This window comes from Homo sapiens, chromosome 10 (assembly GCF_000001405.40).
Source record: "Homo sapiens chromosome 10, GRCh38.p14 Primary Assembly".
Classification (NCBI taxonomy): Eukaryota; Metazoa; Chordata; class Mammalia; order Primates; family Hominidae; genus Homo; species Homo sapiens.
This window is the reverse complement of record NC_000010.11, coordinates 122,472,858-122,499,835: the sequence shown is the minus strand read 5'-3', so window position 1 is coordinate 122,499,835 and position 26,978 is coordinate 122,472,858. Positions and strand designations below refer to the sequence as shown.

The 26,978-nt window shown below is 47.9% G+C and overlaps 1 protein-coding gene across 1 annotated transcript in view, besides 4 other annotated features; it reads right to left on the bottom strand.

Annotated features, from left to right (window-relative positions):
• Positions 1-26,978, bottom strand: part of HTRA1 (HtrA serine peptidase 1) — a 53,355-nt gene that overhangs the window by 15,072 nt on the left and 11,305 nt on the right. The window contains exons 2-3 of the mRNA NM_002775.5: positions 10,835-10,934; positions 10,210-10,414 (exon numbers count right to left, since the gene is read on the bottom strand). Coding sequence (NP_002766.1) covers positions 10,210-10,414; positions 10,835-10,934 — 305 coding nt within the window. The remainder of the gene's footprint in view (positions 1-10,209; positions 10,415-10,834; positions 10,935-26,978) is intronic.
• Positions 4,180-5,379: an enhancer, noted in NCBI's record as "CDK7 strongly-dependent group 2 enhancer chr10:124253973-124255172 (GRCh37/hg19 assembly coordinates)". NCBI's record gives its function as "activates an origin of replication core promoter dependent on BRD2, BRD4, P300/CBP, MED14 and CDK7 cofactors, with strong dependence on CDK7, by STARR-seq in HCT116 cells {active_cell/tissue: HCT116}" and the evidence as "EXISTENCE:reporter gene assay evidence [ECO:0000049][PMID:35650434]".
• Positions 22,990-23,715: an enhancer, noted in NCBI's record as "H3K4me1 hESC enhancer chr10:124235637-124236362 (GRCh37/hg19 assembly coordinates)". NCBI's record gives its function as "activates a minimal SCP1, AML or CMV promoter by ChIP-STARR-seq in primed H9 embryonic stem cells {active_cell/tissue: H9 hESC(primed)}" and the evidence as "EXISTENCE:reporter gene assay evidence [ECO:0000049][PMID:30033119]".
• Positions 24,812-25,333: an enhancer, noted in NCBI's record as "H3K4me1 hESC enhancer chr10:124234019-124234540 (GRCh37/hg19 assembly coordinates)". NCBI's record gives its function as "activates a minimal SCP1, AML or CMV promoter by ChIP-STARR-seq in naive H9 embryonic stem cells {active_cell/tissue: H9 hESC(naive)}" and the evidence as "EXISTENCE:reporter gene assay evidence [ECO:0000049][PMID:30033119]".
• Positions 25,334-25,857: an enhancer, noted in NCBI's record as "H3K4me1 hESC enhancer chr10:124233495-124234018 (GRCh37/hg19 assembly coordinates)". NCBI's record gives its function as "activates a minimal SCP1, AML or CMV promoter by ChIP-STARR-seq in naive H9 embryonic stem cells {active_cell/tissue: H9 hESC(naive)}" and the evidence as "EXISTENCE:reporter gene assay evidence [ECO:0000049][PMID:30033119]".

The window sequence follows — 26,978 nt, the reverse complement described above, 5'->3', positions numbered from 1 at the left end:
TGGCTGGGACTCAACTGAGTGATTCAATGTGCCTTCTGGAAACAGTTATGCTAACCTTTCATTTTCTTTAAAAAATATGCAATGGACAAAATAGCACATCCTCCATACCCAGCAAGAAACAGTGCTATAGAACTTGCATGTCTCCTAAGGAAAATCAAACCAGGCCGCAGAAGGGTTGTTTACGGGGGATGTCAGCATCCAAAGACTTGCTTGAGGGAGTGCGCCAAGCTGGGTAAGGAGGGAAGTGAGCACATGGGCAGGGGAGGAACTGTGAAAAAGGGCGGGTCAGCGGACTGTGGACTCAGATGAACCAAAGATTTGCTGACTTGAGCTACTAGGGGGCAGGACCAGCTACAAAATTAGCAGAGCCCAGTGCAAAATAAAAATGCAGGCTCCTTGTTCATAAAGCATACAGAAAGCACTGTTAAAGGTACTAAAATAGAAAGCTTTTTCCTTTCTTCCACATGCTGTCTCTCTCGACCTATCACAATGTTTTTGATTTGCTAGTTATTACTGTGGTTATTTATGGGACAGTGAGCGCAGACACTGGAGGCCTCACGACTTGGCATTGTGCCCACCAGCCCCTGGACCTCTGATTGTGCCCTGGCTAGGGGTGGGGAAGTCGAGCCAAGCATCTTCCCTAGGGTCCCACTCCTCCAACACATGGATAATGGATGACCCCAAGGACACTGCCGCTTCTGTGTCGGGTGCATTAGGTACCTGGATCAGGGTGGGAGTGGCTTGACCCTGCCCAGTAGCCCACAGAACAACCACGGTATCATCAGCCTGATCCCTGCACCACCAAGATGTTAAGCGGTGCCCAAGCTGGAACCTAGAACTGCCCTGTGCCTACATCCTTTCCAGGGATAGAGGGTAGCAATGACCCCTGCATAGAGACAGGGAAGGGAAGGTCAGATGGGGCTGGAGTTCTCAGGGGACCAGGGACTGGGGAGGCAGCAGGAGGAATCCAGCCTGAGCTAAAGCCCCAAGTTCCCTGAGCATGCTCCATTAGCTCATAGGGCTTTATTCACAAAAATACAAATTCAAAGATAAAATTAAAACAGCGAGCTCAGGGCACAGGGCCTGTGAGTACACGGGTCACATGCTCATGCAGCTGGCTGTTCCAGCTTCTCCAGACAGGGAGGTGGTGGACCAGGAATTCTCCAGATGCTGGCTTGGCCAGTAATCTTTCACAGAGGACTGTGAAAAGCAATGGCCCATTGATATTTCAGCTTCCATTCAGGGTTCTGAACAGCTTCAGAACCCTTCCGTTCAGGGTTCCATTCAGCTTCCGTTCAGGGTTCAGAACGGACAAGGCTGGGAGGTGGTGGACCAAGAGTGAGAAGCTTGGGATTTAGATTAGAGAAGGTGAAGGTTATCAGTGATCACAAAGTCAAGGGTGGTCGCAGTGAGCAGAAGAGCCAGGGCAGGAAGGATCTGCCAGATGGGCACTGAGATCACCGACATATACAGACTGAGAAGAACGGTGTGACCAAGTTGCCATCATGTTTCTCCAACTGACATGTGATTACTACTGTCTAGGGAGGGGAGTAGAGAAGGTAGAATGGACAGGAGGGCAGCAGGGTAGAAGGGGTTCAGGTGGGAGAGATCAGATAAATGGGGAGATGAAGGGAGAAAAAAGGAAAAAGAGAAGGAGAAGGAGAACAGAGGACAGTGTGCAAAAACAGAGAAAGAGAGAGCACACAAATGAAAAAAATGAAAAGACTTTCCTCCTCGGTGTTTATGAACACCATCAAAATATTTAGTCTCCTTTACACTATATCAGATGTTTGCCATTTCCAATATTCCCTTACTCTTCAGTGTTTAAACCACAAAATGTCAACAGTGCCACATGGGGGCCCGACAGCTAATGACTGTATATATTCGGGGCATCCAGAGGAGGAATAATATTGTCTTGGTCAAGTCTAACTTGCGTCTCCTCCATACATCAGCGCCTTTGATGCATCCCCTTTCATCCACCAACTTCAGAGTGGCTGATGCTGCTACAACAGCATGTGGCCATGGCAGATGCTCCAGAAATATTTACAAAATCAATGAATAAGTAAATAAATGAAAGAATGAACCAGCCAGGTCTTAAAACATCCATTGGGATATTAAAATTAGGTAATAACTGGGGTTAGCCAAGGCCTGGCATTTGGGTCTGGGTAACTGACTGGGTAACGGATGCAGCCTGCTTTTCAGCTGTCTATAGGCTATAAAGCTCAGGGCTCAGGGAGGCAAAGGGAACAGCTTGTATCTCCCGGCTGTCATGGTGGACAGGGGCTCAGTCCTACTCTATTTGGTGGGCCCAGCGAACAGCACACAGCAGCCTTTCAGCATCTGCTGAACTGCCCTGAAGGCACTCTGGCTCCTCATTACCCATAACCACATAGAGCTTCTTTGAGCCCCAAATGCAGGGAAGTTGCCCAGGATGTAGCATTCTTTTCAGATTTATTTTAAAATGTTTAAAACATGTATAACCTCTTCTATATAAGAATAATTTGATATGGTCAATGAACAAAGGGCCTTTTATAATAAGTTAATTAAATATATATTTATGACATAAAATGGGAACACAGGGAAGGCCAGTGGTTTCTGTGAGCTGCCTGGTAGATAAAGCAAAGAAGGAAATACCATGAGTCACATGTTCCCATTATCAGATTCTGGTGCTTTGTTTAACCAAAGGAACTGTTAATTCGCATGTTTATTAGGATAATTAGTCCTCAATTCACCAGAAGGTCTTATTTCTCTCTTGCCACAGAAAGAGATCTGGATGGCTTTAGGAAACCAGCTACGGAACTGCATCAATGCTGCTATGATTGAGAGGTGATCGTATCATTGTGAATCTTTGTGCTTTCAGACTCTTGGGAGACTGACTACTTAAGACACTGGAGCTTTCCAGAGTATGAGTAGGAACCCCAAAGAACCAGAACCAACAAGAAATGAGACAACACACAGAGAAACTAGCTAACCAGAAACTTGTTCTGGAGGGTTCTAATAAACTCACGAGGAAATGACAGTTTGCAATTAGTCCAAGATCCAGGATCTGCAGGCTGAGCAGAAGTGGGAAATTAAGCAACTCCACCTGCAACTCTTGTCACCCAACTTGTTTCCTTGGCTGGCTCTCACTGTCCTTTCCATCTCAGCTTAGATGTCACCCCCTCAGATAAGATTCCCTGCCTACACTATCTGCTGTCTTTGCAGCCTGATACCTTCTACCCCTTCACTTGTTTGCTTCGTGCACTGTACTTATCGCCATATTTACTTTACATCACCCATTTCCCACACTAGATCTTAAGCCCCATGGCTTTGCCCACTATTGCTGCATCCTCAGCACCTAAGAAGTATTTGGCCAAGACAGATGTTCAACACACATTTATAAAATCAGGGAATTAACAAGGAATCACTAAAAGAATGAACAAACTAGACCTCGAAAGATCCATTAGGATCTCAAAATTGGATAATTGCCAAATAGCTTGGAATTCTGACAAAGTCCTTTCTACCAATGTCACAGAGAAATAGACAAAAATAAGGCCTCCCTCTGCTATTGTGACAAGATCAAAGCTTCATCTCTGCAAAAAAAAAAAAAAAAAAAAAAAAAAAAAAAGAACCCACAATCTCTGGCAAACGAAAGGGCAAACAAAATCAGCTTCTCTTCCTGCTCGCCGCGGCCACCTAGTGCTTCACCTCGCTTGGTTCTTATAAGCATTCCTGCCTCCAGCCACTTTCAGCTCCTCGAGGACAAGGTGTTAATTGCCTGCCACTGGGGCTGGGAATTTTTTTCCTGTAAAGGGCCAGGAAGCAAATATTTTTGGCTTCACGGGCCACGTGGTCTTCATCACAACTATTTAACTCTGCTGGTGTAGACTGAATGCAGCCATACACTCTACCTAAATAAGTGAGCATGACCATGTCCCAATAAAACTTTATTTACAACAACAGAGGGCCAGCTTTGGACTACTGGCTGTAGTTGGCCAACCCTGGACTCTGATACTCTGTCACACACTTGATAAACTGTCAAATGGAAGCAATTTGTATTCCCCCCTCAATGAAGAGGACAGGAGACATTCCTAAACAAATCCAGTCCCAACAACTTGGGAACTGCTTTGTCAGACCCATAAATAATAGTCTTAATCCAATTCCCTGAAAAGAGAGTGCCAGAGTGAAAAAAGGCATTACCATATTAAGAGAAAAATATAGCCAAAGAATTTCCTTGACAATCAACTAAGTTCTTGAATCCGGGCCAGAGAACACACAGGGGATCCAGTTCTGAGAGTTTGGGGAACTGAAACGTTTCCCAAGCCAGAAGGAGCTGCAATCAAGAGCTTAGGAGCCACGTCCCCACCCGCCTCTGGACAAAGCCTGGCACAAAATAAAAGCCAGCTTCTACTTCACTGTCTGGCTTCACATTCCCTCATGAAATATTGATTCCCGTCCCCCTAAAAATGGTAAAAATCAATACAGTAATAGAAGCCTCATAACGTCAACACCGTCTGTGGCATCATTAGCAAATGCAATGGTAGCCCTCAGAGTTCTCGGAGAAAAAGAAGAGACCACAAAATGCCCAGTACAGAAGGCGTTGGGGGAAAGAATCCAAAATGGAAAAACACAGAAACAAGAGGGGAGCTGGGGCAGTGCGATGTGCATTCCAGGCTCCCAGGCGCTTCCTTCATGAGGATGAGTGACAGATGACTCCAGAAGAGGGCAGCGGGTGAGCCCAGGCCCTGTGTTCTCTGATTCGCTTTTGGACGAGCTCAGGCCACTGAGTCAGCGCATCTGACCATCCGGTTGCCTGAGGAGAACCGGCGTGAGTCATGGCAAGCACCACCCCAGTCCACTCCCCGCCACTGCCATGTCCCGGGGGGCTGCCTGAACCCCCTCACTCAGCTGACTCAGGGAAGATTCACCATGCGCAGGGCCAAGTTCTGGTGGCCTGGAGAAGAGTGGCCTGCTCAGCAGCTCCCGGGACATGTAAAAGGCCCCAGGCCCCTCACCCGCAGTGACCCCCGTCTGAACTTGATGAGGATCAGGGGTGTCGGCCTTCCTTCTCACTGCACCAGCCAGCTCAGCAGTAAGAGGACCCTCTGCAAACACAGCGGCCCCAGCGCCCAGAGGGCTCCCTCTGTGGCCACTTCAAACAGGTCTGTGGGTGCCATCTGGCCCAAAGGTGGCCGTGGGGTTGGGGGGGTGGCGCAGGCCTACAGGGGAGGGAGGAAAACCACCTCACAAGCCTCAACAAGGCCGTTTCCAAATATTTACCTGGTTGTTGGCGTCAGGGAAAAGCACCCACGGGAAAGCTCACTGTTTCACCAGCGCTTTCCGTTACCAAAGACCATAGACCTGCTGTAGCCCTGACAGGACCACGTGTCCATCAAACTCCAAGCAGGCAAAGCCGGGAGGCAGGGGCATCTGCAGCCAGCCTTCTGCAGGGTCATTTCCTCATTGAATATAGGAGGGAAGCTCGATGCAGGAGCCCCGGGTGCCTTCCCCTCAATTCCATCCATGTGGCGGGTGCCCTTGCTTCCTCCGGGGCAGACAGCTGTGAACGTCCTACTCTGAACAAGGTTGCCAAGCACCTCCTACCTGAGGACCGACAGCCGGATGTGCCCCCAACCCCGCAGTCCAGCTGCAGAGATGAACTTCATTTGACAAATGAGTGAGGCGACTCTAAATTGTGATAAATAGACGAGGAGGGAAAAACCAAGAGTGGAATGCAGTTGTCCCTGGGGTGATGTGTCCCCAAAGTGAGGCAGTGGAGTTGAGGGGACTGGGGCATGGGGCGCTACCTCACACAGCGGGGTGGGGAGAGATGTCTAAGGCAGAATTTAATCAGAGGCCTGAAGGACAGGAAGGTTGGCTGCATGAGGAGCTGGAGAGGGGCGCTCCTGGGAGGGGAACAGCCAAGGCCCCAGGGGACAGCCCTGGCCTGTGGGAAGCAACCAAGGAAGGGGTGTCTGAGCAGAGCAGGTGGGGGTGGAGAAAGGAGGGGAGGAGGGGAAGGGGAGGAGGGGCAGAGAGAGTGAGGGGTGCCCAATCAGGTGGGGCCCTCAAGGTCCTGGTAAGGAGTTCAGATCTCTCTCAGAACAGCAGGAAATCTGCAAAGGCTGTATATAAGATGGGAAGGACATGATTCCAAAGATGCTTTTCTCCAAGTTTCTTAATCAGCACAGCTGGACAAATAGCTGTAGCTAAAGTAACTTTCCCTCCTACCTTCTTCAATACATCCCATTACCTCTGCCTTGTACTCCAGCCTGAAGAAACCAAACTGCTCTCTTTTTACTTTTCTCTCTCCCTGTCCCCACCCCTGCCCCAAACTGCTCAGGAAAAAAAAACCCCGCAGGGACAAAATGCCACCATTGGATGAAAGCTTGACATATGCTGCGCACAGCCAGTGGCTCATGTTAAACGCATTTGGAAAGAGTTTGTAACTGAAGCTGAACTAGTCTGCCCTCAAAGCTGCTTTCTATTAACATGTTTACACGCACACTGTCCCGACTTTCTGCAGCTGGGATTCCCTCCCCAGGCAGGCTGGCCCCAGTCGTGGGTCCCAAGGAGAGGGGAATTTCAGATTTGGGCAGAAGCACAGAAAGGGATGCCTGGCCGGGGCTGCAGGTGGACACCTTCTCACCTCCTGCTTGGAGGGAGACAGCAGGGCAGGCAAGAGGGGGCTGGTCCGTGATTGTCTCCCAAAAGCTCTTCCGGGTCCCAAGACTCAGCAGGCAAAGTGAGCGCACATGTGTCTGCTCAGCAGTGAGAAGCAGAAAAGGAGTCATTTGGTCACAAGCCCAGAAACATCTCTGGCAACTTCAAGCCACTGGAGATGTGAGGGGAGCTCCAAGAATGGGAGGAAAAGCAGATATTAAACTGGACTCACAAAGTGCAAGAACTCAGGCAGTGCTGGGGGCTCAACAGCAGGGGCTACAGCAGCTTCACCATGTTAGTCTCTGTGGGTGGCATCCAGCTTCACTTTGCGATTCCAAGGGGAGCCTCTGCTTGCCCTAACTGGGTCCTGTGTCCACTCCTTGGCCACAGAGGGTAGGACACCATGACTGATGGTCCCACCTACGCTGTCCGATGATGGACATGTGAAATGCCGGCTGTTGCTGCCAGAAAAGGGGGTAGGTGAGTGGCAAGTGGACAATGACCACAGATGTCCGTGGCAATTCTTATTTCACTGAAAGTCTCAAGAATATCACGTTTACAGCCACGCGCAATGGCTCACACCTGTAATCCCAGCACTTTGGGAGGCTGAGGCAGGTGGATCACCTGAGGTCAGGAGTTTGAGACCAGCCTGGCCAACATGGCAAAACCCGGTCTCTACTAAAAATACAAAAAGTAGCCAGGCATGGTGGTGCACGCCTGTAGTCCCAGCCACTCAGGAGGCTGAGGCAGGAGAATCACTTGAGTCCTGGAGGTGGAGGTTGCAGTGAGCGGAGATGGCGCCACTGCACTCCAGCCTGGGCAACAGTAAAACTCTGTCTCAAAACATAAAAATAAAATGAAATAAACATGTTTATGAAGGACAACGGGGGCCCCTCCAAGTGAAATCAGGATGCCAGGGGAGGAGCTGGGCCCAGATGATAAGCCACCGAGTTAGTCACTGGGCCCACGGACGCGGCAGGCAGTCTCACCAGCTTCACTGGGTTACTCTTAAATGGCTTTGCAGGAGGCTGGGCCACAGTCTCATATGACAAGGAGCCGTGTAGGTGATTTTCATTCCTCAAGCACAGTTTCTGCTGGTTCTGTTCTGCCTTCTCGGTTTTCCTGATCTCTTTCATCCTCTTTGTTATCCCTAAGATGACACAAAGCAAGGCCAGCCAGAGCTTCCCCCGAAATAACCCATCATCAAAACAAGGGAACAAAAGAGAAAAAGCTGGAAGAGATGCTGTTACTCTCCCTACTTTCAACTACTATCAGCAAAAAAAAGCAGTTTAGTCAGTGGAAACCAGTCTTTTGTGTGGGTGTCTGCAATTTAATATCCTTTCATTTCCAATTCCATTTTGAAAAGCCACATCAGTTCAATTTTAAATTTCAAGCACCCTTTCTTGGGGGGCTTGAAACACATGTCAAACAGCATGCTGCTGGCTGAAGAGCTAAACTCCCAAGACAGCAGGAGTCAGGTCAGACACACTCTGCAAAGCTCGTCTATTGAGATCGTTCACGTCTTGCCAGGACATGCCAGGGATGGCACGAGGAGACAGTCTCCACCTTGGCTCAAAATTGGAAAAGAATATCCCCCGGCCAGAAGCAGCCGCACGGTATGTGCCCACGCATTCCAAACACGAAGTTACGCAGTGGGGGCGGCGTCCAGGCCAGCGCCTCGCCTGCACACAGCCCATGCCCTGCTGCTGGCTGCCTCCCAAAGCTCCATGAGGCTGAACAGGTCCCACGCGTGGCCACAGGCTGTGCTATTCTGACTGGCTCCTTCCGGTGAGACTACCACATCCTGGATACCTTTCTAGCAGCCTGTTCCTAAACCAGATGCACCCGCCTTCCCATGGGCTGTTTAAGGTCAAGCTGTCCCATCAAACCACGGGGCCGGCCTCTATCCCTCCAGCAGTAGCCATGGGCTGCCTTAGGAGGGCAGGGTCATGAGGTGTTTGCTGTGTGGCCTCACACAGGTTACTAGACTTCTCTGAGCCCCTGTTTCTTCTTCTCTAAAATGGGGATAACACAGCTATTATGCAGATTAGGTGAAAAAGAATGAAGGCAGAGGCTGGCCCAATAATCCTGTGACCAATAAACACACTTTGAAAGATTAGTTGTCGCTAGAAATTCCACAGTGACCTAATAGAAATAACACACAACTGCAGCCTCACTCAAGGCCAGTTACACACACCGGGCACAGAGCCTATATCTACCCAGAGCCTCTTCGGCCATGCCTGGCCACCCAGCCATAGAGAAGCTACAGGAACATCGGGGAAGGAGGGTAGTAAATGTGTTAGCTGGTGGTTTTCTGAAGACTGGCCGTAAAGGAGCCTGAGCTGGGCAGCAACTTGATGTTATAAAAAGACGGAGAAGGAGACCCGGAATCCTACCACCCAAACAGCACACGCAGAGTTGTTTCCAGAAGGAGGTGTAACCAGCGTGCCACTGAACAGCACAAACAGCCAGATTAATTCCACGCTTGTCTGGAATTACTCAGCCCACACCCAGGTAAAGCGAGGCAAGCAGAGGGCTGGACAAGAGACCCCACCTGGCTCAGCCTCTGGTCTTTTCCTTGGTCAGAGGCAGGATTCCAGCCTCCTCTGATTGTTCCCTCCATCTGAAGTCTAGAAAATTATAAGGATGTGAAGAAACTGGAAACCACGCTTTCACTGAACATGCCACACAGCAAACAAAACCTCTCTCATCGACGTGTCGAGTGGGGGTTTTTGATGAGTCAGTAAGAAATGGATATTGTCCCAGACATGAAGACTTTGCTAAGCAAATCAACAGAGCAAAAATGATTGCAAAGAGAATATTTAAATAGAAAGCATTTTCAAATACAGCATTTCCCAAACTGATTTTGGTATGTCTCAGTTCTGCCTGCCCCCACAAAAAGCTGTATACTCAAATGATTATAATTTGGGCAAATAGTTCAGTCAACACCCTTTTGTAGGCAAGCCACGTGCACACTAGCATACTAAAAGCTCTGAGAAGGTCTGGAAAGAAGAAATCCATTAGCTCTGTTTTAATTCAAGTTTTCCAAGATGTTTAAAGTACGAAACATTCTTTTGAAACACATCTCATAACCCCGCAAAACCCCAATTTGGGAGAGCTGGTTTGTTTTCAAAGTAACTGTTGACAAGTTAAGGATGGCTCAGTCTAAAACCCAGTAAATTCTATGTTCATTGTGAACGCATGATGTATCTGTGGAGGATAAATAAAATCTGTAACAAGAGTTGCCACAGGATTGGGAATGGGAAGGAGAATCAATTTTCACTACTTACCTACTAATTTCTTTACAAATCTATTGCTTTCTTTGACAAACATTTAAAACATTATTTTAAAAACTTTTATCTGGCTCCTTACAGAAGTTTTCCTGAGCCCCTTCCTCTCCCACACCCCCAGGCCATACTCAGCATCTCCTCAAGGCCCTCCTGTGACTGGCTCAGACTGGCTTCAGTGCCCCCCGAGAATCAGCTGCAATCAGAGAGCTCTGGTGCCTTTGCCAAGGGTGTTCCGGGGCATCTGAGAACTCACCTCTGCAGGCGAGAACACCCTTACCTGGTGGTCAATTTTGATGAGTGCGATGTCTGCTTTCTCATCCACATCCTTGATTTTGGCTTCGTAAGTGGCACCGTTCTTCAGCTCAACTTTGACCCGGTGCTTGTTGGTCACCACGTGGGCATTTGTCACGATCAGTCCATCTTCCGACACAATAAACCCAGACCCACTAGCCACCGGCACCTCTCGTTTAGAAAACGGAAGCCTAAAATCCAAAGGAGTACACACTTAAGCCTGTAGCACCTTAAAATGAACGCTTCAACGCATTGATTAATGGGTTGTGCAACAGCCACACACACCTAGCCATCGCTCCTTTATATATCGGGCTTAGCATTTAAACACTAAACATCCTGCCAATTTTTTGCATGCATCAAAAACTTCCACTTACAAAATATTCTTAGAGAATCTCTTCAGAGCCCGAGGTTCTTTAAACATTCAGAAGGGTCAAGAATGTAGATTTATATAGTCGAATAGGGAAAATGTTCTAAGGGAGACACACTTATCTTAAGTAGGAAGATATTCAGTGACACTTTGACACTTTAATGTATCTCAAAAATAGCTCTCATGTTTTGCTAGTGGCGGTGAAAGCTTCGGAGGTTATAGGAAAAAGGAAGGCTCTCTTTACTTGCGAAACAATTCGATATGAACCACGGCAGGGGCGATCTTCTCCACCACGTCCGCGATAAAGTTATATTTATGGCGCAAACTGTTGGGATCTTCCTGCCCTGAGAACAAAAGCAAAGAATAGATACTTAATGACACTCTGCTGTGGCCACCTAGAGAAAGACATGGGTTAGAGGAAGCCAAGATGCATGCCCAGCCTTTGGAATTCTGAAGGCGGAGTGAGCGCAATTCCCCCACCTGGGCTCAGCTGCAAATGTCCATCCACCTCCCAAGGGAGTGCCCACCCAGGTAAGGCAGTAAAATCCACTAATGATAACCTCTTTGCTCAGGTTCACCACAAAAACGTTGAGCAGAGGCACCAGCAAATGCTTCAACCTCACACCAGCCTTTCCAAGAAGCTGATGGCCCAAGTTTGTTTTTTGTTTTTTTTCAGTTTATTTTTAGATGGAGTCGCACTCTGTCACCCAGGCTGGAGTGCAATGGCGCAATCTTGGCTCATCACAACCTCCACCTCTCCGGTTCAAGCGATTCTTCTGCCTCAGCCTACTGAGTAACTGGGATTACAGGCACCCACCACCTTTGTATTTTTGTATTTTTACTAGGGACCGGGTTTCACCACGTTGGCCAGGCTGGTCTCGAACTCCTGACCTCAGGTGATCCACCTGCCTCGGCCTCCCAAAGTGCTAGGATTACAGGCGTAAGCCACCACACCCAGCCAAGGGTCCCTTTTTGATGTGGCATCACCCTCTGCCTGCGTCCCTTCCCTGAGTCCCCACCATTACAAAGAAGCAACAACCCTCCTGAGAAACACCGCAGGAGCAAAGAGCACCGGGGCTTTTTCTAGGAGAGGCCCACCAGACGGGTACATCTGAGATTATTACGAAGAAACACGAAGGCAAAGGGGCAGCTCCTATCTTTCCCACTGACACCCCAAGGCAAGCTGAGGCCATCGTCTGTCCCCAAAGCAGTTTCCGCCATGCCTTAACCACACGTTCCAACCCTGCCCGGGACATCCCAGACAAAAGGCATAAGAGGTGCCTTAAGACTGTGGGTGAGAAAAAGAGAAAAATCAAACAACTGTAATGCTTTATACCTACAGTCATGCACCACATAACGTTTCAGCCAGCCGCGGACCATAACACCATTGTTTTTACTATACCTTTTCTATGTTTGAATACACAAATACTCACCATTGTTACAACTGCCTACAGTATTCAGTACAGTAACCTACTGTACGGGCGTGCATCCTAGAAACAACAGGCTCTGCCATCTGGCCTAGGTGTGGAGTGGGCTCTGCCATCTAGGTTTGCGTAGGCACACTCTGTAACATTCCCACAGTGATGAAATCGCCTAACGACGCATTTCTCAGAACGTATCCCTGTTGCTCAGTGATGCATGACCGTTTATATTACAGTGAGTGGCCCCACGTGGTGGGCGTTTCCAAAGCTACTTTCAACAAAGCTGTCACATGTCCCGATGTGAGGCTCTCACCCAGCAGGGCTACAAGTTAGTTTCCATCAACCAGAGGCACATACCCAAGGTAACTGATTCAGAAACGGACTGCTAGAGATTCAGGGTCCTGGGCTCCCATTTTCGTGGCACGGGTGGTGGCAGAGGCAGTGTGTCCCTGGAAGTGCAGCCTTAGCCTACTACTCCGGCTCCTAATCTTGCCACCTGCTGCTACCTCTTAACAAGTCTCTGCTAAAGCAGGCTGGAGAGGTTCCAGGCTGGTCTGCAGCTGAGAGCCATGCACCCCATTCTTCCCCCTTGGACTAGCTCAGCGTTGCACAAGCAGGCTCCAGGGACCCGCACTCCTCTGCTAGCTGCTCACTACGAATTGACAGGAAGCTTTCGGAAACTTTCATAGCAATTTCACATGGTAATCTTATGTCTGTTGCACTGAAAAATGAGTAACTGGGGCTTGTATTTCCTGTCTCACATTTTGTATTTTGTAGGTATTTTGTGTCTCATTTACCAACAGGCCTGTGTGCCTGCCCCTAACACACATGCATATATACACAGAGATGCAAATGCACACACACACACAAACTCACACATACACACTATGCATACACACCCACAGATGTACATGCATAAACACACCCACACATACACCCACATTTACACACAAACTGTCACATAAACACCTATACACACTTCCACACACATTCATATACTCACAGATGTGCACATACATACAGTCACACATATATACATGCAAATGCACACATACATACAGACGCATACACACACACACACACACGCCTCTCTCATCACTAGAGTGGCAACCCTTCCCCAGGCTCTAGGCTATAAGTAAAAGCTGTGAGACGTCCCAGCCCTCTTGTGACCCGTCACAGCTTCACACCCACTGGTTCCCACATCCCTGCTGCACTGGGTCACGAAGGGCCATAGTAACCCAGCTTGACACCATGGGGCACAGGGACATCGGGAGGACCACCTGCCTCTCCCACGCTTGCTTTCTTGGAAGTGAGAGCGCTTCTGTGAACAAAGGGCCGTTTTCTGTCCTAGCCCCTGACCTCTGAGTTGCTTTATTTAAAGATTGGAATCATCTCCTTTTACATAGCATGGTTTTTTTCTAAGGTACAGAAAAAGATCTGCAACTACTTGGAAGAATAATTTAACAAATTCAGAACAGTATCATATTATTATTTTTGCTTTCAAAACCCTTTCATTGGCTGCCTTAATTTAATTTTTTCTACCTTCATGTGGAATAGGAAAATCAGGTATCCTTCCCATATTATATATGGGGAAACTGAGGCTCGCAGACTTTAAATAACTTCTCCATGGACACTGAAGTTTCTTAATAGAGAGTATAAGTAACAGATCTGGGCAAGCCCTCCCAAGCCCACAGTGTCACCAGATCTACAGCTTCTCACTTCAACACTGGCCTCCTACAGATCTGCTACCCTCCTAGGTTTCCAGGTAGTTGCAAATAATTGGTGTGTCCCCCCGAGCACTCCAATGGGAGGTGTAAATAAGGGAATGGAAATGTTCCTTCTGAAAACAGAGCCTGGCGAATGTCACCAGACAGCTGTAAACAAACGCATCTGGGCTTCCTCAGACCAGCTTCCTGGGGAAAGGCCAAGAAGAGGTTTAACTCCAGCCAGGCCAGAACACAGAGACAGCGTGGTGTTTCAGAAACTCTCACAAGAAGGACCATTACCAGCGCCTTCCCACTAAGGATCATTAACTCACTTCCTCTTTCTGGCTTCCTGAATTAGGTATGGGAGAATTTGCCCACACCAGGGGCAAAAATGAAGATGGATTGAAGGTGGATTTTGCTGGGTAAAATGAGAGGCAGTTCCCTTCTCACACAGTCACATAAAGTGGTTCCAGGGTCTTCCCACCAGGAAAGCAACAAGGGAGATCAAGGAGGATCTGGCCTGGCCACTGGAAGGCCCAGTTCCAGCCTCAGTCCACTGAGCAGCCTCCATTTCCTCATCTGTAAGATGGACCAAATGCCTCTGGAATGAGATGTGAAGTCTGTTCCAGCTCCAACCTTCTATGTCCCTGTCTCTTCCTCTCCCCAGCGTGCTGCAGGAAGATAAATAACATGTGAAATTTGAGATCAGGTCCAGGACTCTCCAAATTCTGCAGATGAGGAAACAGAAAGAAGGAGCAGTGGGAGCACAGACCATATGACAAGGCTGACTGACAAGCCTTCGTGGTGCATCTCAGATGAAAAAGCAACCATTGACTTCCATTCTTACCATCCCTGGGTGGACTAGTGGCAACAGGAAAATAGAACAGGAATAACTAAACAGAAGAAGCATCAACTAACAGTTCAAAGATGGACAAAATGTCAACTGAAAGAAGAAGAAATATTTGGCTTGTCCAAACGCCATTTCAGAGTGAGGAATAAAAGTGTGTCTAAAAGCAGCTTGGTTCAGTGTTAGATTCCTGTTCCATTAAAAGGGCTTGTCCATTAAACTACATGGAGTGGCCACTGCCTGATGGTCTACAGACACCCTGGCTGGCCCATCTGCTGTGATCTCAACTGTGGGTCAACTGTCTTCCTTCCAGAGGAGTCAATCCCGATGGAGAATTCCCATAGATGGGCCCAGGCTGGCTCTGCCACTGCCTACTCTCCAAGGGGTTCAGGGGACAGAGGGTGGGGGCGTCCACTGCTCCTTCTTTCTGTTTCCTCGTCTATCAGCATGAGGAGAAGGCTGGCACAGGCTCTGGCCTCAGATGGACCAGAGTGTGACCCTCAGCAGGGTACTCACTAGCTGTGTGGCCTTGGACATGTTACCTGACTCCTCCAAGTGTTAGCCTCTCATCCATAAAATGTGGTAACACCACCTACCTCAATGTGTTTTCTATGCTGATTTCATGATCTACTGTATATGAAATGCTTGATCAAGCCACGGCATACAATTTAGAAAGAAGAAAATCCAAAGGACTGGCCACAGTGCTGCTCAGTGGCAGCTCTGCATAGGTGTAAGCAAGTCACACATCAGTGGCACAGCAGAGAGGTAAAGGGAGGTGTCTGGAGACCCACTCAGCCACCTCGGCGCCTCCTAACGACGTCGTCATGTCACTGCGAAGGTATGATCCAGGGAAGCTGTGTGGCAGGCTGTTTTTTCTGGCCTTCACGTGTGTCTCTTCTCCCTAGCTTACAAGGGTACCCCACAGACACTACAGAAGGGAGACAGGGCCAGGTCAGCAGATAACCTAGCCTGAACTGCAGCCCAGGTGAGCTCTTAAACCTGACGAAGCAACCAACCTGAAGAAGGCCAAGTAACGCCCTAGTAGGTAAGGACCATGCCTCCTCCCCACACTGTTCTGTTAAGCCAGAACTGAGGCAGCAGAAGGCAATGAGGACGGGAAGCCCCCTGAAAGGTCAAGGCCTGGCCATTTTACCTGCTCCTTAATTGAACAGAAAGCTGGAACTGGCTGCCGTTCAGTAATGGACCACACAATGAGGCATGAGAAAGAAACAAAAGGCATAGAGATTGGAAAGGAAAATGTAAAACCGTCTTTATTTGCAGATGATATATATGATAGTCTATATAGAAAAATTCTAGAAATCTACGAATATATGACTGCGTTTATCAATGTCACAGGATAAGAGGTCAATAAATAATTTCATTTCTATGTATTAGCAACAATTGGAATCAAAATTTTTAAAATATAACTATAACAGCATCAAAAATAAATATCAAGTAATTAGGGAAATATTTAACAAGATATTTGCAAGATCTGTACATTGAAAGCTACAAAACGCTATCAAAATAAAGAAGACCTAAATAAATGGAGAGAAATACCACACTTGTAGATCAGAAGATTCACTATTGTTAAGCTATCAATTTCTCACAAATTAACCCATAGATTAAGCATACTCTCAGTGAAAATTCTGAGCAGGAGTTTTTGTAGAAATTCACAAACTATTTCAAAAATATATGTGGAGAGCACAGAGCCTAGACAATCCAGAGTAATTCTCCAAAATAAAAAACTGAATGACTTATACAGTGCTACATGATTTCATTTTTAAGCAGAAAAACTGAGTAACTAAGATTTGTAAAATGGTAAGTTACAACAATTTATAGAGATGGATCTTTCCACTTACCTAGTAAATATTTCTCATTACTGATTTTTAACACAACAAATGGCCCATTAAGAGCAGCCAACATTTCCTGTAACTTTATAGTTTAAAAATTGCCAAGATTCAATCCCAAGACAATAAATGATTCGTCTTTCCTCTTTATAAACTACTAGTCAAGCACACAACTTCATAAATGTTGCTTCCTTGAAGCACATCATCCCTGGAGTTTTACACATAATACTTCTTAATTACTTTCAACAACTTCTTTCAAGGTGGAAGAAAACAGACGTAGGCAGTGTAGATAAGCTTCAGTCATTATTCTCCAATATGTCATGTTACTGAAAAGAGCAAGGCATTAAGTGTTTGACATTCATTATCACACTGAACAAAATTTGTTGCAGTAAAAATGAAAATCACAGTATGGGGAGTATGAATTAAAGGATAGGCTTTTATCTGTGTTTCTCTCAAAAGAATAAGCACAAAATGAATATGTGCTTTTTTTTTTTTTTTTTTTTTTTTGAGACAGAGTCTTGCTCTGTAGCCCAGGCTGGAGTGCAGTGGTGCAATCTTGGTTCACTGCAACCTCTGCCTCCTGGGTTCAAGTGATTCTCCTGCCTCAGCCTCCTGAGTAGCTGGGATTACAGGCACATGCCACCACACCCAGCTATTTTTTGTATTTTTAGTAGAGATGGGGTTTCACCATGTTGGTCAGGCTGGTCTCAAACTTCCAACCTTGTGATCTGCCTGCCTCAGCCACCCAAAGTGCTGGGACTACAGGTGTGAGCCACCGCACCTGGCCGAATATGTGCTTTAAATACATCAAAATGTATGCTTCTTTCATCTTTAAGGCAAAAATGCCAGGTAAAGATTAGATCTGAGGCAGGAAGAAGCCAAAATCATATCCTTATGGTCCTAATCCCATGGTTCCCATAGTGTGCCCCAAGGGACCCCAGAGTGCCACAGAAAATTCATCGATATTTCAGGTTTTCTAGGGAAATACAGTGATACTTGATCACTGTTAGACACCTTGTAAACTAGCTCTAGATTGATCATAGTTTTGAAATCAGATCACACTACATCCCTTTTCATGATTCCATATGAAGTTGGATTTCTGGCAGTCACTGTGATAAAAAGCATGTACCACACAAAAATCAGAGTTGAACTGGAAATGGGCATGGTGGTGTCCAATCTGACTCCAAGATTTGAAAGGTCATGTGACACCCAACAGGTGCACATATCCCATTCATAAGTAATCATGCTTATTGAATAATGAAATTAAAATGTCTTTTTTTAATGACCACTGTGTTATAGGGACACAAATACTTATCAAATTGTTTGGCCTCCACTAATTGATAAATGGAACTGTTGGGTATTTTTTGGCCTTACTGGGGACCATGAAAAAATGACTGCACTACTGTATTAGTCCATTTTCACACTGCTGATAAAGACATACCTGAGACTGGGTGATTTACAAAAGAAGGAGGTTTTATTGGACTTCCAGTTCCACGTGGCTGGGGAAGCCTCACAATCATGGTGGGAGGCAAGGAGGAGCATGTCATGTCTTACATGGATGGCAGCAGTCAGAGAGAGAGCTTGTGCAGGGAAACTCCCCTTTATAAAGCCAACAGATCTTGGGAGACTTATTCACTATCATGAGAACAGTGCGGGAAAGATCTGCCCCCATGATTCAATTACCACCAACCGGGTCCCTCCCACAACATGTGGGAATTCAAGATGAGATTTGGGTGAGGACACAACCAAACCGTATCAACTACTAAAGGTGCCACCAATCATGACAGTTTGGGAACCTCTGCCTGATGCTCTTGGGCTCTCTGCAGTGGTTGGGCCTGAATCCCTGCATAGGCACAAGGAGCAGAGGTGGATAGACAGCAAACATCCACAAAGCTTCAGCGTGGAGCCCTCCATCTGCCCTGTGAGGGGCCCTAGCAAAGTGCTATCATCACAGCTTGTAGAGAGTATACAGAAATGAAAGAGTGAAGCTGCAGCTGGTTGGGGCCACGGTCTCTTGCCCTCTGTCACACATCTATCCCATCAGGGTGGCTGCCAGCATTTGGGGGAAGAGGCTAAGGGAAAAGTAAAACTGGATAATCATTTTGTTCAGGTTAAATGAGATATATTTGTGGCTTTGAAGTCCCTTCTGTGTCTAGTTAAATTGCTATATCTATCCTGCTATATGTGTGGTCTCCAGGGACACCCTATGGCAGGGGAAACTGCTGGTTCCCCTGGTGCAGGCCAGAGGTTGGACAGAAGACAGTGAGTGTGTGGGTAGCAGAAAAATATTGAATTGATCATAATAATAATCCAAAAACAATAAAAGTAATAATAAATTATTCTATTTTCTCTGTAGGAAATATTACAAAAGCATTGTCACATGAAAAGGTGAGCAAAGAGTTCACAGCCAAAAAATAGAGGAGGAGAGAGGGGCATTTTCAAGATGACGGAGTGTTCAGCAGTTAGCTTTTTTTAATCTTATTTTTCTGATTTTGTGATGTTTGCAGTATTTGTCTATTTTCTGAAGTTTGTCATTTTGGGCATTTTCTTTTTTCAATCTATATCAATAATAGTTTCATACCTAATGTTATATTCATAATTTTGAGGGGTGTTTTTCTTGAAGAGGGTATACTGAATTGTACAAGTTTCAGATTCCATAAAACCTGGACCTGCCAGTGGGAGAAGGTGCCAATTCCTGCTCAGGTGGCAGGTCCCACTGTCCCTTGTCCTCCCACCACCTCCCTCCAGAGCACAGGGCTGGCTCCCAGCATGAGGGGCACTCACGCCACGCCAGCAGGACACCAGAGCTATGCCTATAGGACATGCTGCCTCGGCCAGACAACTAGCAGGGACCCTCAATCACCAACACTCCATGGCCAGCATGGGGGCTTCACTTTAGGGGACCAAGGCAGCTTTCCCTGGCATTCCCATTAGACTCCCAGGCCAGCTCTCTCCCCACACTGGCCAGCAACTAACCCAGGTGTGCCAACCCCCTTCATTGCCCCTGCAGGACCCTGGGGCACTGCCCCTGTTCTTGGCTCTGTCCCTTGTCCCTTCTCCCTGCAGAGCTTCCTGCCCTCGCCCGCCCTGATGTGGCAACTGGGGTTCACAAACGCAGAGCATCTGGGATGGGTAGGAACACCAAGTTGTACTCCAACCCACACACGTTCCCCGTGGGGCCAGCCACACTAAGAAAGGTCACACCTTTCGGCTCTAAGTTAATGCCTCCATGCCCACTTCTGCCCCGTACAGCTGTGTGACTTCAGATCATGAATGTCCCTGCTTCAGCCTCAGTCTCCCTTTCTGTAACACGGAGCTAATATCACCTACTCCAAAGGGCTTGGGAGTCCTAGGTGAGATTGCACATAAAGCACTAAATATCATGCCCCATCTTCAAGGCCAAGGTCACCTGCGTTTCCGTCTCCCAGCTCTCAGCCCAGAGCTGGGTCCCCACGTCCCTCCCAGGTGCATTTCAACACCTCCAAGTGGCTCTTCTCAAGCTTCTGAAGCTTCCAAGAATCCCACTCTACGCTAATTCAGGCAGGCCTCACCTCTGTCTTCAGTGTCTCCCCCTAACTGATAATGCCACTTTGGGGCACATAAACTTCCTGCAGGATCCCCGCAGCCATCGCCATCTCCTCGGGCCCACGATCCCCTCTCATTCACCATGTGGCACTGATTCCTCCACTCTCCCCACGACTCCTTAATGCACAACTCCCACCCTGCAGACCTCTCCCCACACCTCCAAAGTGCTCCACCCCATCCCCCTGCATTCATGTCTCTTTTCCTTCCGGCCTGGATGATCTCATTCTCCTCGCCTCCAGCTAGTCAAATCCCACCCAACCTTCAATGTTAGCAATAAAATAATATTATCAATAAGAATAATAGGATCTATTTATTGTAGAGCATCTACTATATGTCAAGCCCAATAATAGGCACAAATATTACCTTTAATTACTCCTGCAAGCCTGCAAGCCTGCAGGGTGCATCTCATCACCAGTCTACAGAAAGATGAAAAAAACAAGGATCAGAGAATTAAATCATGTTGCCCTAAGCCTCAGAGCTGGCGAGTGGCAAAAGCAAGAGCCTAACCCCATCTGTCTGGCTCCCAGGCTAGCCTCCCTCCTTGGTCCCCACCTTCTCAGCCAGCCTCCAGCCCCCCGCAGCCCACACCATTGTGGGAACATGCTTCACACTCGGTGAGATCAGGGCCAGGATGCAGGATTAACAATCTAACCTTCCCTTCCAGCCAGAACAATCCCCGCTTCCAATTTCTCAGCTGAGTTGATACGTAGAGCTAATTTGGAAAACAGAACGCAGTGTATTCGAGGGAAAAGAAATGAATCCTCCTTTATTCACAGGAAACAGCATGTTCCCAAAATTCAAATCAGTTGCAAGAGCAGATTGATCCAATCAATGGCATTTTAATGCACTGTCCTAGATTCAAGACTAGCTACATAATATGCAGTACCCAGTACAAAATGAGTATGTGGGGCCCTTTGTTCAAAAATTATTAAGAATCTCAAGAGAGCAACAGCAGAGCATTAAAACAGGCACAGCACCCTTCTGAACACGGGGCAAGGTGTGACTGCACAGGTCCATGCCCATGGGGCCAGCTGTGCCTGCATTTCAAATTCATTTGATTTAATACCCCAAATCCAGATTTAGCACAGAAAAGCATCTCAGGAGCTGCTCAGGTGCCACTGGAGATGCTGCCTTAATCTGGTCAAACTCAGCCGGGCGAGTGGCTCAAGCCTGTAATCCCAGCACTTTGGGAGGCCAAGGCAGGCAGATCATGAGGTCAGGAAATCGAGACCATCCTGGCTAACACGGTGAAACCCTGTCTCTACTAAAAATACAAAAAATTAGCCAGGCGTGGTGGCAGGCGCCTGTAGTCCCAGCTACTCGGGAGGCTGAGGCAGGAGAATGGCGTGAACCCAGGAGGTGGAGCTTGCAGTGAGCCGAGATCGCACCACTGCACTCCAGCCTGGGCAACAGAGTGAGAGTCCGTCTCAAAAAAAAAAAAAAAAAATCTGTCAAACTCAGGAGCCCAGGAGCAGTCTGCGGGGGCTGATACAGTCCCCCACCTGCAGGGAGGCAAGGTACCCATCCTCTCTGCAATGCCAGAACAGTGCATACTCCAGCCAAGGCAAGCTGTGCAGCCCAGGCAAGCCCCTCATGCTGACGCTTCCTCACATTTACATTCTAATGTCTCTTCCAGTTTGCAAATCACTTGTGATTCTTCACCTGATTTCTTCCACTTTAAATACCAGCAAAGGTATTCCTACTTTAAAGATTACAAATAAGAATACAACCCAGTACCAACTATGGCCAGGATTCAGGGTTAAGGATGAGATGTGAAGACAGAAACTCAGCCAAAAATATGGCTGGATTGGGCCAGTGTCTGCTCACCAGGATGGAGGCCGGGATGAGCTAAGAAACTGGGCAGGTCTGTCAGCGGCAGCTTATCCGCCTCCCCTGTCCCAGCCTCCCTTCCTTCTGCCATGTGGGGTCTGGGCATAAATGACAAGAAAATAAAAGTTCTTTCAAAGGCAGGAGCATAAAATGCATCATGCAGAGGTTGGAAATTAAGGCCAATGGATAGCATGTCCCATCCTCACTTGAAGGGCCAGGCAGCAACCTCTCGACCATGAAAGGACAAGGAGAAGTAACCGTGCAGGAGACAGCCTGCTGGGCCCCCACAGCTATGTGCTCAAAGTCCTGCTCTAAAGCCTGAGACATTTCTCCTGGTCGCCTGCAGACACACTGCCGCTCTCTCTGGCAGGGCTGCTAGACACCAGTCAGAAACTGTAAATAAAGAAGGCCAGCACAGCAGGCCTCCAGTGCAGTGTCAGGAGAACTTGGAATAATCTTTGGGAATGGCTCAGTGAAGTCTGGGACACACTCCTCAGCTGCCATCAGTACTTTCCCAGTCCAGCAACCCAGCAGGAGTGAGGTCCAGCCTCGGGGCCCCATCCTCCAGGTGCCAGCAGCTTTTGGGAGGTCCAGAATCCAGTGACACCCAGAATTTCCTGGGGTGTATGTGGGAGGTACATACTGGAGGCCTCATCTTCATCTTTAGCCGTCTGAGGGGCTCATCTTATATTTCTTTGGCATCCCCTTCAGCCCCGAGCATGGCTAAATTAAAAGTAACTACAGGCCGGGCATGGTGGCTCACACCTGTAATCCCAGCGCTTTGGGAGGCCAAGGTGGGCAGATCATGAGGTCAGGAGATCGAGACCGTCCTGGCTAACACAGTGAAACCCAGTCTCTACTAAAAATACAAAAAATTAGCCAGGCATGGTGGCAGGCACCTGTGGTCCCAGCTACTCGGGAGGCTGAGGCAGGAGAATGGCGTGAACCTGGAAGGCGGAGCTTGCAGTGAGCCAAGATTGCGCCAGTGCACTCCAGCCTGGGTGACAAAGTGAAACTCCATCTCAAAAAAAAAAAAAAAAAAAAAGTAACTATAAAGAGGCTACTTGCTGAATAAATAAATCCAGACCCAAATCCAGATGGGACTCCCAGGAGGAGAAGACACACCGGGAAATTTATCGGCAGGTGCCCAAGGCCACTCTCATCCACTTGGTTCCACTCACAGCTCAGCACCTTCACAGAGAGGCGGGGGAGAGCGAATGCAGTCAGGGCTGGATGCAAGCGCAACCATCCCTCTAGCGCTCCCCTTACTACCCAGTCTCTCACTGTCCCAGCGGAAGGCCCCCCCACCTGCATTTCTGATGGGGCAGGGGTGCAATAGCAGAGACAAAGCAGAGAGAATGCAAGGGCTGCAGGCCCAGGACAACTGGGACCGAGTGCCTGCAAACGGCCAGTCGCTGGGTGGCAGGAAGAGAGGACCTGGAATATTGATCTTTACACTAAATGCAGGGTCCCCGCCACTGAACTTTACCTGTCAGGACTGGAATGTGGGCTCCACCCCTCTGGACGAGCCACAGGCACCTGAGGGCAAGTTGGATGCCTGCAGCAGGTGTGAGTAGGCCTGTCCAGACAGGACCCAGATGGAGGCAGGTGGTTAACTAACCTGATGCTGTGCAGCTGGGGAGAGGGGCTGGTCCACATTCGGGAGGCCAAGGATGACTCTTCCCTAAGAAAAGCTCCCTTTGTGAGGTTTCTCGCTGAATTTGAGAATGATCATGAGAAGCACAACGGGAGCAGGCAGAGGAGTGGGGAAAGACAGCACGTAGGCTGCATTTAACTGAGCCGTGAACTGCAGAGAAACACAGAGCGCTTCCTCCTCCTCCAGGGAACTTGGACTATGTTCTCTCTGAGGGTCAGGAGAGAAATCAGTTTTAAAAGGTTCCTAATGGCCAGTGAGGCATGAAGCGAAAGGGGAGGGGGCCTCCTGTCTGCAAGAGGGGTTGCCTGAGGAAAAGAAAAAGAAGCATATATGACCCAGTGAATGCAGCAAAGCTGCCCCACAACACTCATTTCTTTCCCAGGTTTTCAGTTTGAGTGGCTGCATGCTGTCTGGCCCGCTCCATTAAATTCCAAGGAAACTTGTCAGCCACGGCTCCAGCCCAGAGCCCGGCCCAGCACTGGTCTGGGGCATGGAGGCAGCAGAAACAGAAGCCAGACCTTGCACATTCCGGGAAACCAGACCCCCATTCTAATCGCTGCTGCTGGTACTGCACATTCCAGGGCGCCGGGGACATGGGCACAGAGGGGCCTGTGCGACTGGATTTCCTCGAATTCTGCAAAGAAAATGCACAGGAAGGACAATGGCATTGCTAAGTGGTGGCCCAGGCAGCCAGCTGAGGTCTAAAGGAAACCTGAAACCCTATGCACCATCAGGGCCGCTGTCTGCAAATCTAAGGAAAGACACGGCCAACGGCCCTCAGACCTACTCTTGTTAAAATACACTGAATTCACAAGCAGGAATTATTATTTGTTTAAAAAGGCTAAAATTTGAATGATGAATGACCACGCTCTGTCTTTTGCATAGAAACAAAGAAATGAAATTCAGGAGAGTTTCGTGTGGCCTCTTTCTTTCCTTTTAATGAATCAAGGAGGAAGAGGCGGGGGAGCCGGGAGCCTGGCCTCGACTTGCAGCACACATTGGCACTTCCAAGTGTTGGCAGCCCCTCTCTTTCCGGGACAGTCTCCCAGACGGCTCCAAGTGGGAAAAGCTCGCCGGACGCCAGACCTCAGGCTGCTCCCCCGTCCTGCATGTCCCGGGTGCCTTGAGCAGTAACTGTTGCAGGGGCTGGGCCAAGACTGCAGCAGATGGTGCCTGGAAAAGTCTGTGGCAGGTGAAGTGAAGGAGGAAGACTTACCCAAACAAGGCTAAGGCAGTCTCTCTCAAATAGAGTAGATTCGAAATGTGCTTTCGGGGGGCACCTGGCCAGCTGGCTGTGAACCCCTCACTGTGCTGTCAGTCACAAGCACAGCCTAGATCTGCATCTTTGGCTTTACTGGGAAAAGATGCCTCTTCCAGAACAACTATGTTGTTGTTTATGTTGTCTATGTTTAAAGGCGCCTGTCATTGAAAATCACTTTTCAGACTCACTGGCAAAGAAAAAAAAAATTGTGTTTTTCAGTCCTTGCTTGATCTATTGGGTTTGATCGGTGCTGTTACATTTGATAGTCTTTTCTGGCCTATTTTATGCATTAGGGAAAAGCTTCCAATCAATTCCACTGCACATTTTTTTTTTCAGATGCCTCCTGAATGCCCAACATGATGTGTCTATTATTATCTTCGGGGAAACAGCTGACTGCTCGGTTCACAAAAACCATTAACTTTGCTCTTGATAAGCGTCTGGCTCTGGTCCTGACCTTCGCAGATTTCTCAGCTGGGTTCGCTTCCTGCCCTGACTCCTCAACATAGGTTGTTATGTCTGGAGCTGCCGGGGCTGTTCAGTCTCCCTAGCCCTCCAGCCTCTGGCCACGGACTGGGAGGCAGTGCCCACCCGGGTTGAGTCTGCCCCCCTGGTGCAGGAGGAGGGCCTGAGGCTGCAGAGAGGCAGAAGAGACGTGAGGGAGGGAGGTGATGGTGAACGAGCCCCTGTATCAAGGAAGAAGCCAGTTCTTCCAAGCAGTACCCAGCCCCCATGCGAGGGGAACTTGTGAAACAGAGACAGACGCCAGAAGGAAGCTTTGGCTCAAATAAGAAATGAAGAGTGGTCCCGGACCCAAAACAAGCCACTTCCCCTTCCTGGGCCTCAGTTACCTCAGTGGTAAGATGAGGGGGTAGGCTAGACGGTTTCCGACATCCTTTCCAGCTCCAAAAAAGTTCTATGATCTAATAAATCTGAAAAGTGCATTTCCTCATGTTTTCCTTTCAGTGCGTAATCCCCATCCATATAGAATATTCTTGGTTTTAATGCTGGCTTCCTGAGTCAGGTGCTACAGTTTCTTCCAGTGGAAACAGTATCACCTCTGCAGTTTAGACTTTCGCAGTGACTTTCCAGGCTGAAATTAGGATTCCCCATCAGGGAGGGGAGATAAAATAGACGTCTGGTCTCCCTGTATCCCTTAAAAGGCATATTTTTAATCATAAAATGGAATGAAATAATGATCCATGCTACAATGTGGACAACCTTGAAAACATTATGCTAAGAGACAGAAGCCCGTTACGTATTCTTTGATTCCATTTATATGAAATGTCCAGAATAAGCAAATTCATAGAAATAGAAAATGAACCGGTGGTTTCCTAGGGCTGGGCAGAGGAGAAGTATGGGGTGGCTACTAATGGATACGGGGTTTCTTTTTACGGTGATGAAAGTGTCCTGGAGCTGGTAGTGATACGTGCATGATTGTGAATATATAAGAACAGCAAATTGTACACTTTAAAGGGGTAAATTTTATAGTATGTAAATTATCTCTCAATAAAGCTGTTTTAAAAAGAAAAATAATCGTGTTCTTTCTTTTTACTTTTTTAATGTGACTACTAGAAAATAATTTTGTATATGCAGCTCCTGTTATACTTCTGCCTATGAGTACAAAACATTTGAATAAATATTTTCATCACTTTTCAAAACAGACCAAATCAGTCTGGCCTCCTCCCGCATCCTGGACAGAGCTGGCATCCGAGAGGCTCAGTGCAGCGAGCTCTGGGCTGGGCTTCCTGAGACCTGGGTTCTCTGTCGCCTCTTAGCTTGTGACCTCCAGCCTTCAGGTCACCTCACTGGTCCCAGGCTGCTCGCCTGAGACACGAGTGTTAGAAGGACAAGCCGACAAACACCCAAGCCCCTCCCAGGTGAGACTGTCTGTGATCACAACTCACCCCCTCCCCAGGTAGAACCAAGTTTTAAAAGTGCTCGTTATTCTACCCCAAACATTGCTCAACTCTAAGAGCCATCAACCTGAGAATAAAAGTAACCTGTAAGACCAAAAAAGGAATCTAACAGTGAGCAGAATGGCTGGGGTTTGGCACCATCTTCTTCCATTATTCCTGAAGGATTGATTTTGGGAGAATTTCTTTCAGTGACTTACGAGGTTGAAATTCTAGAGCTGATGGCAACAAATATGGCTACAACCCTTCTGGAAAATAATTTGGCAATTTATACCAGATCCATAAAAATTCCATATCCTTCTTCCCAGTTTTTGTACTCCT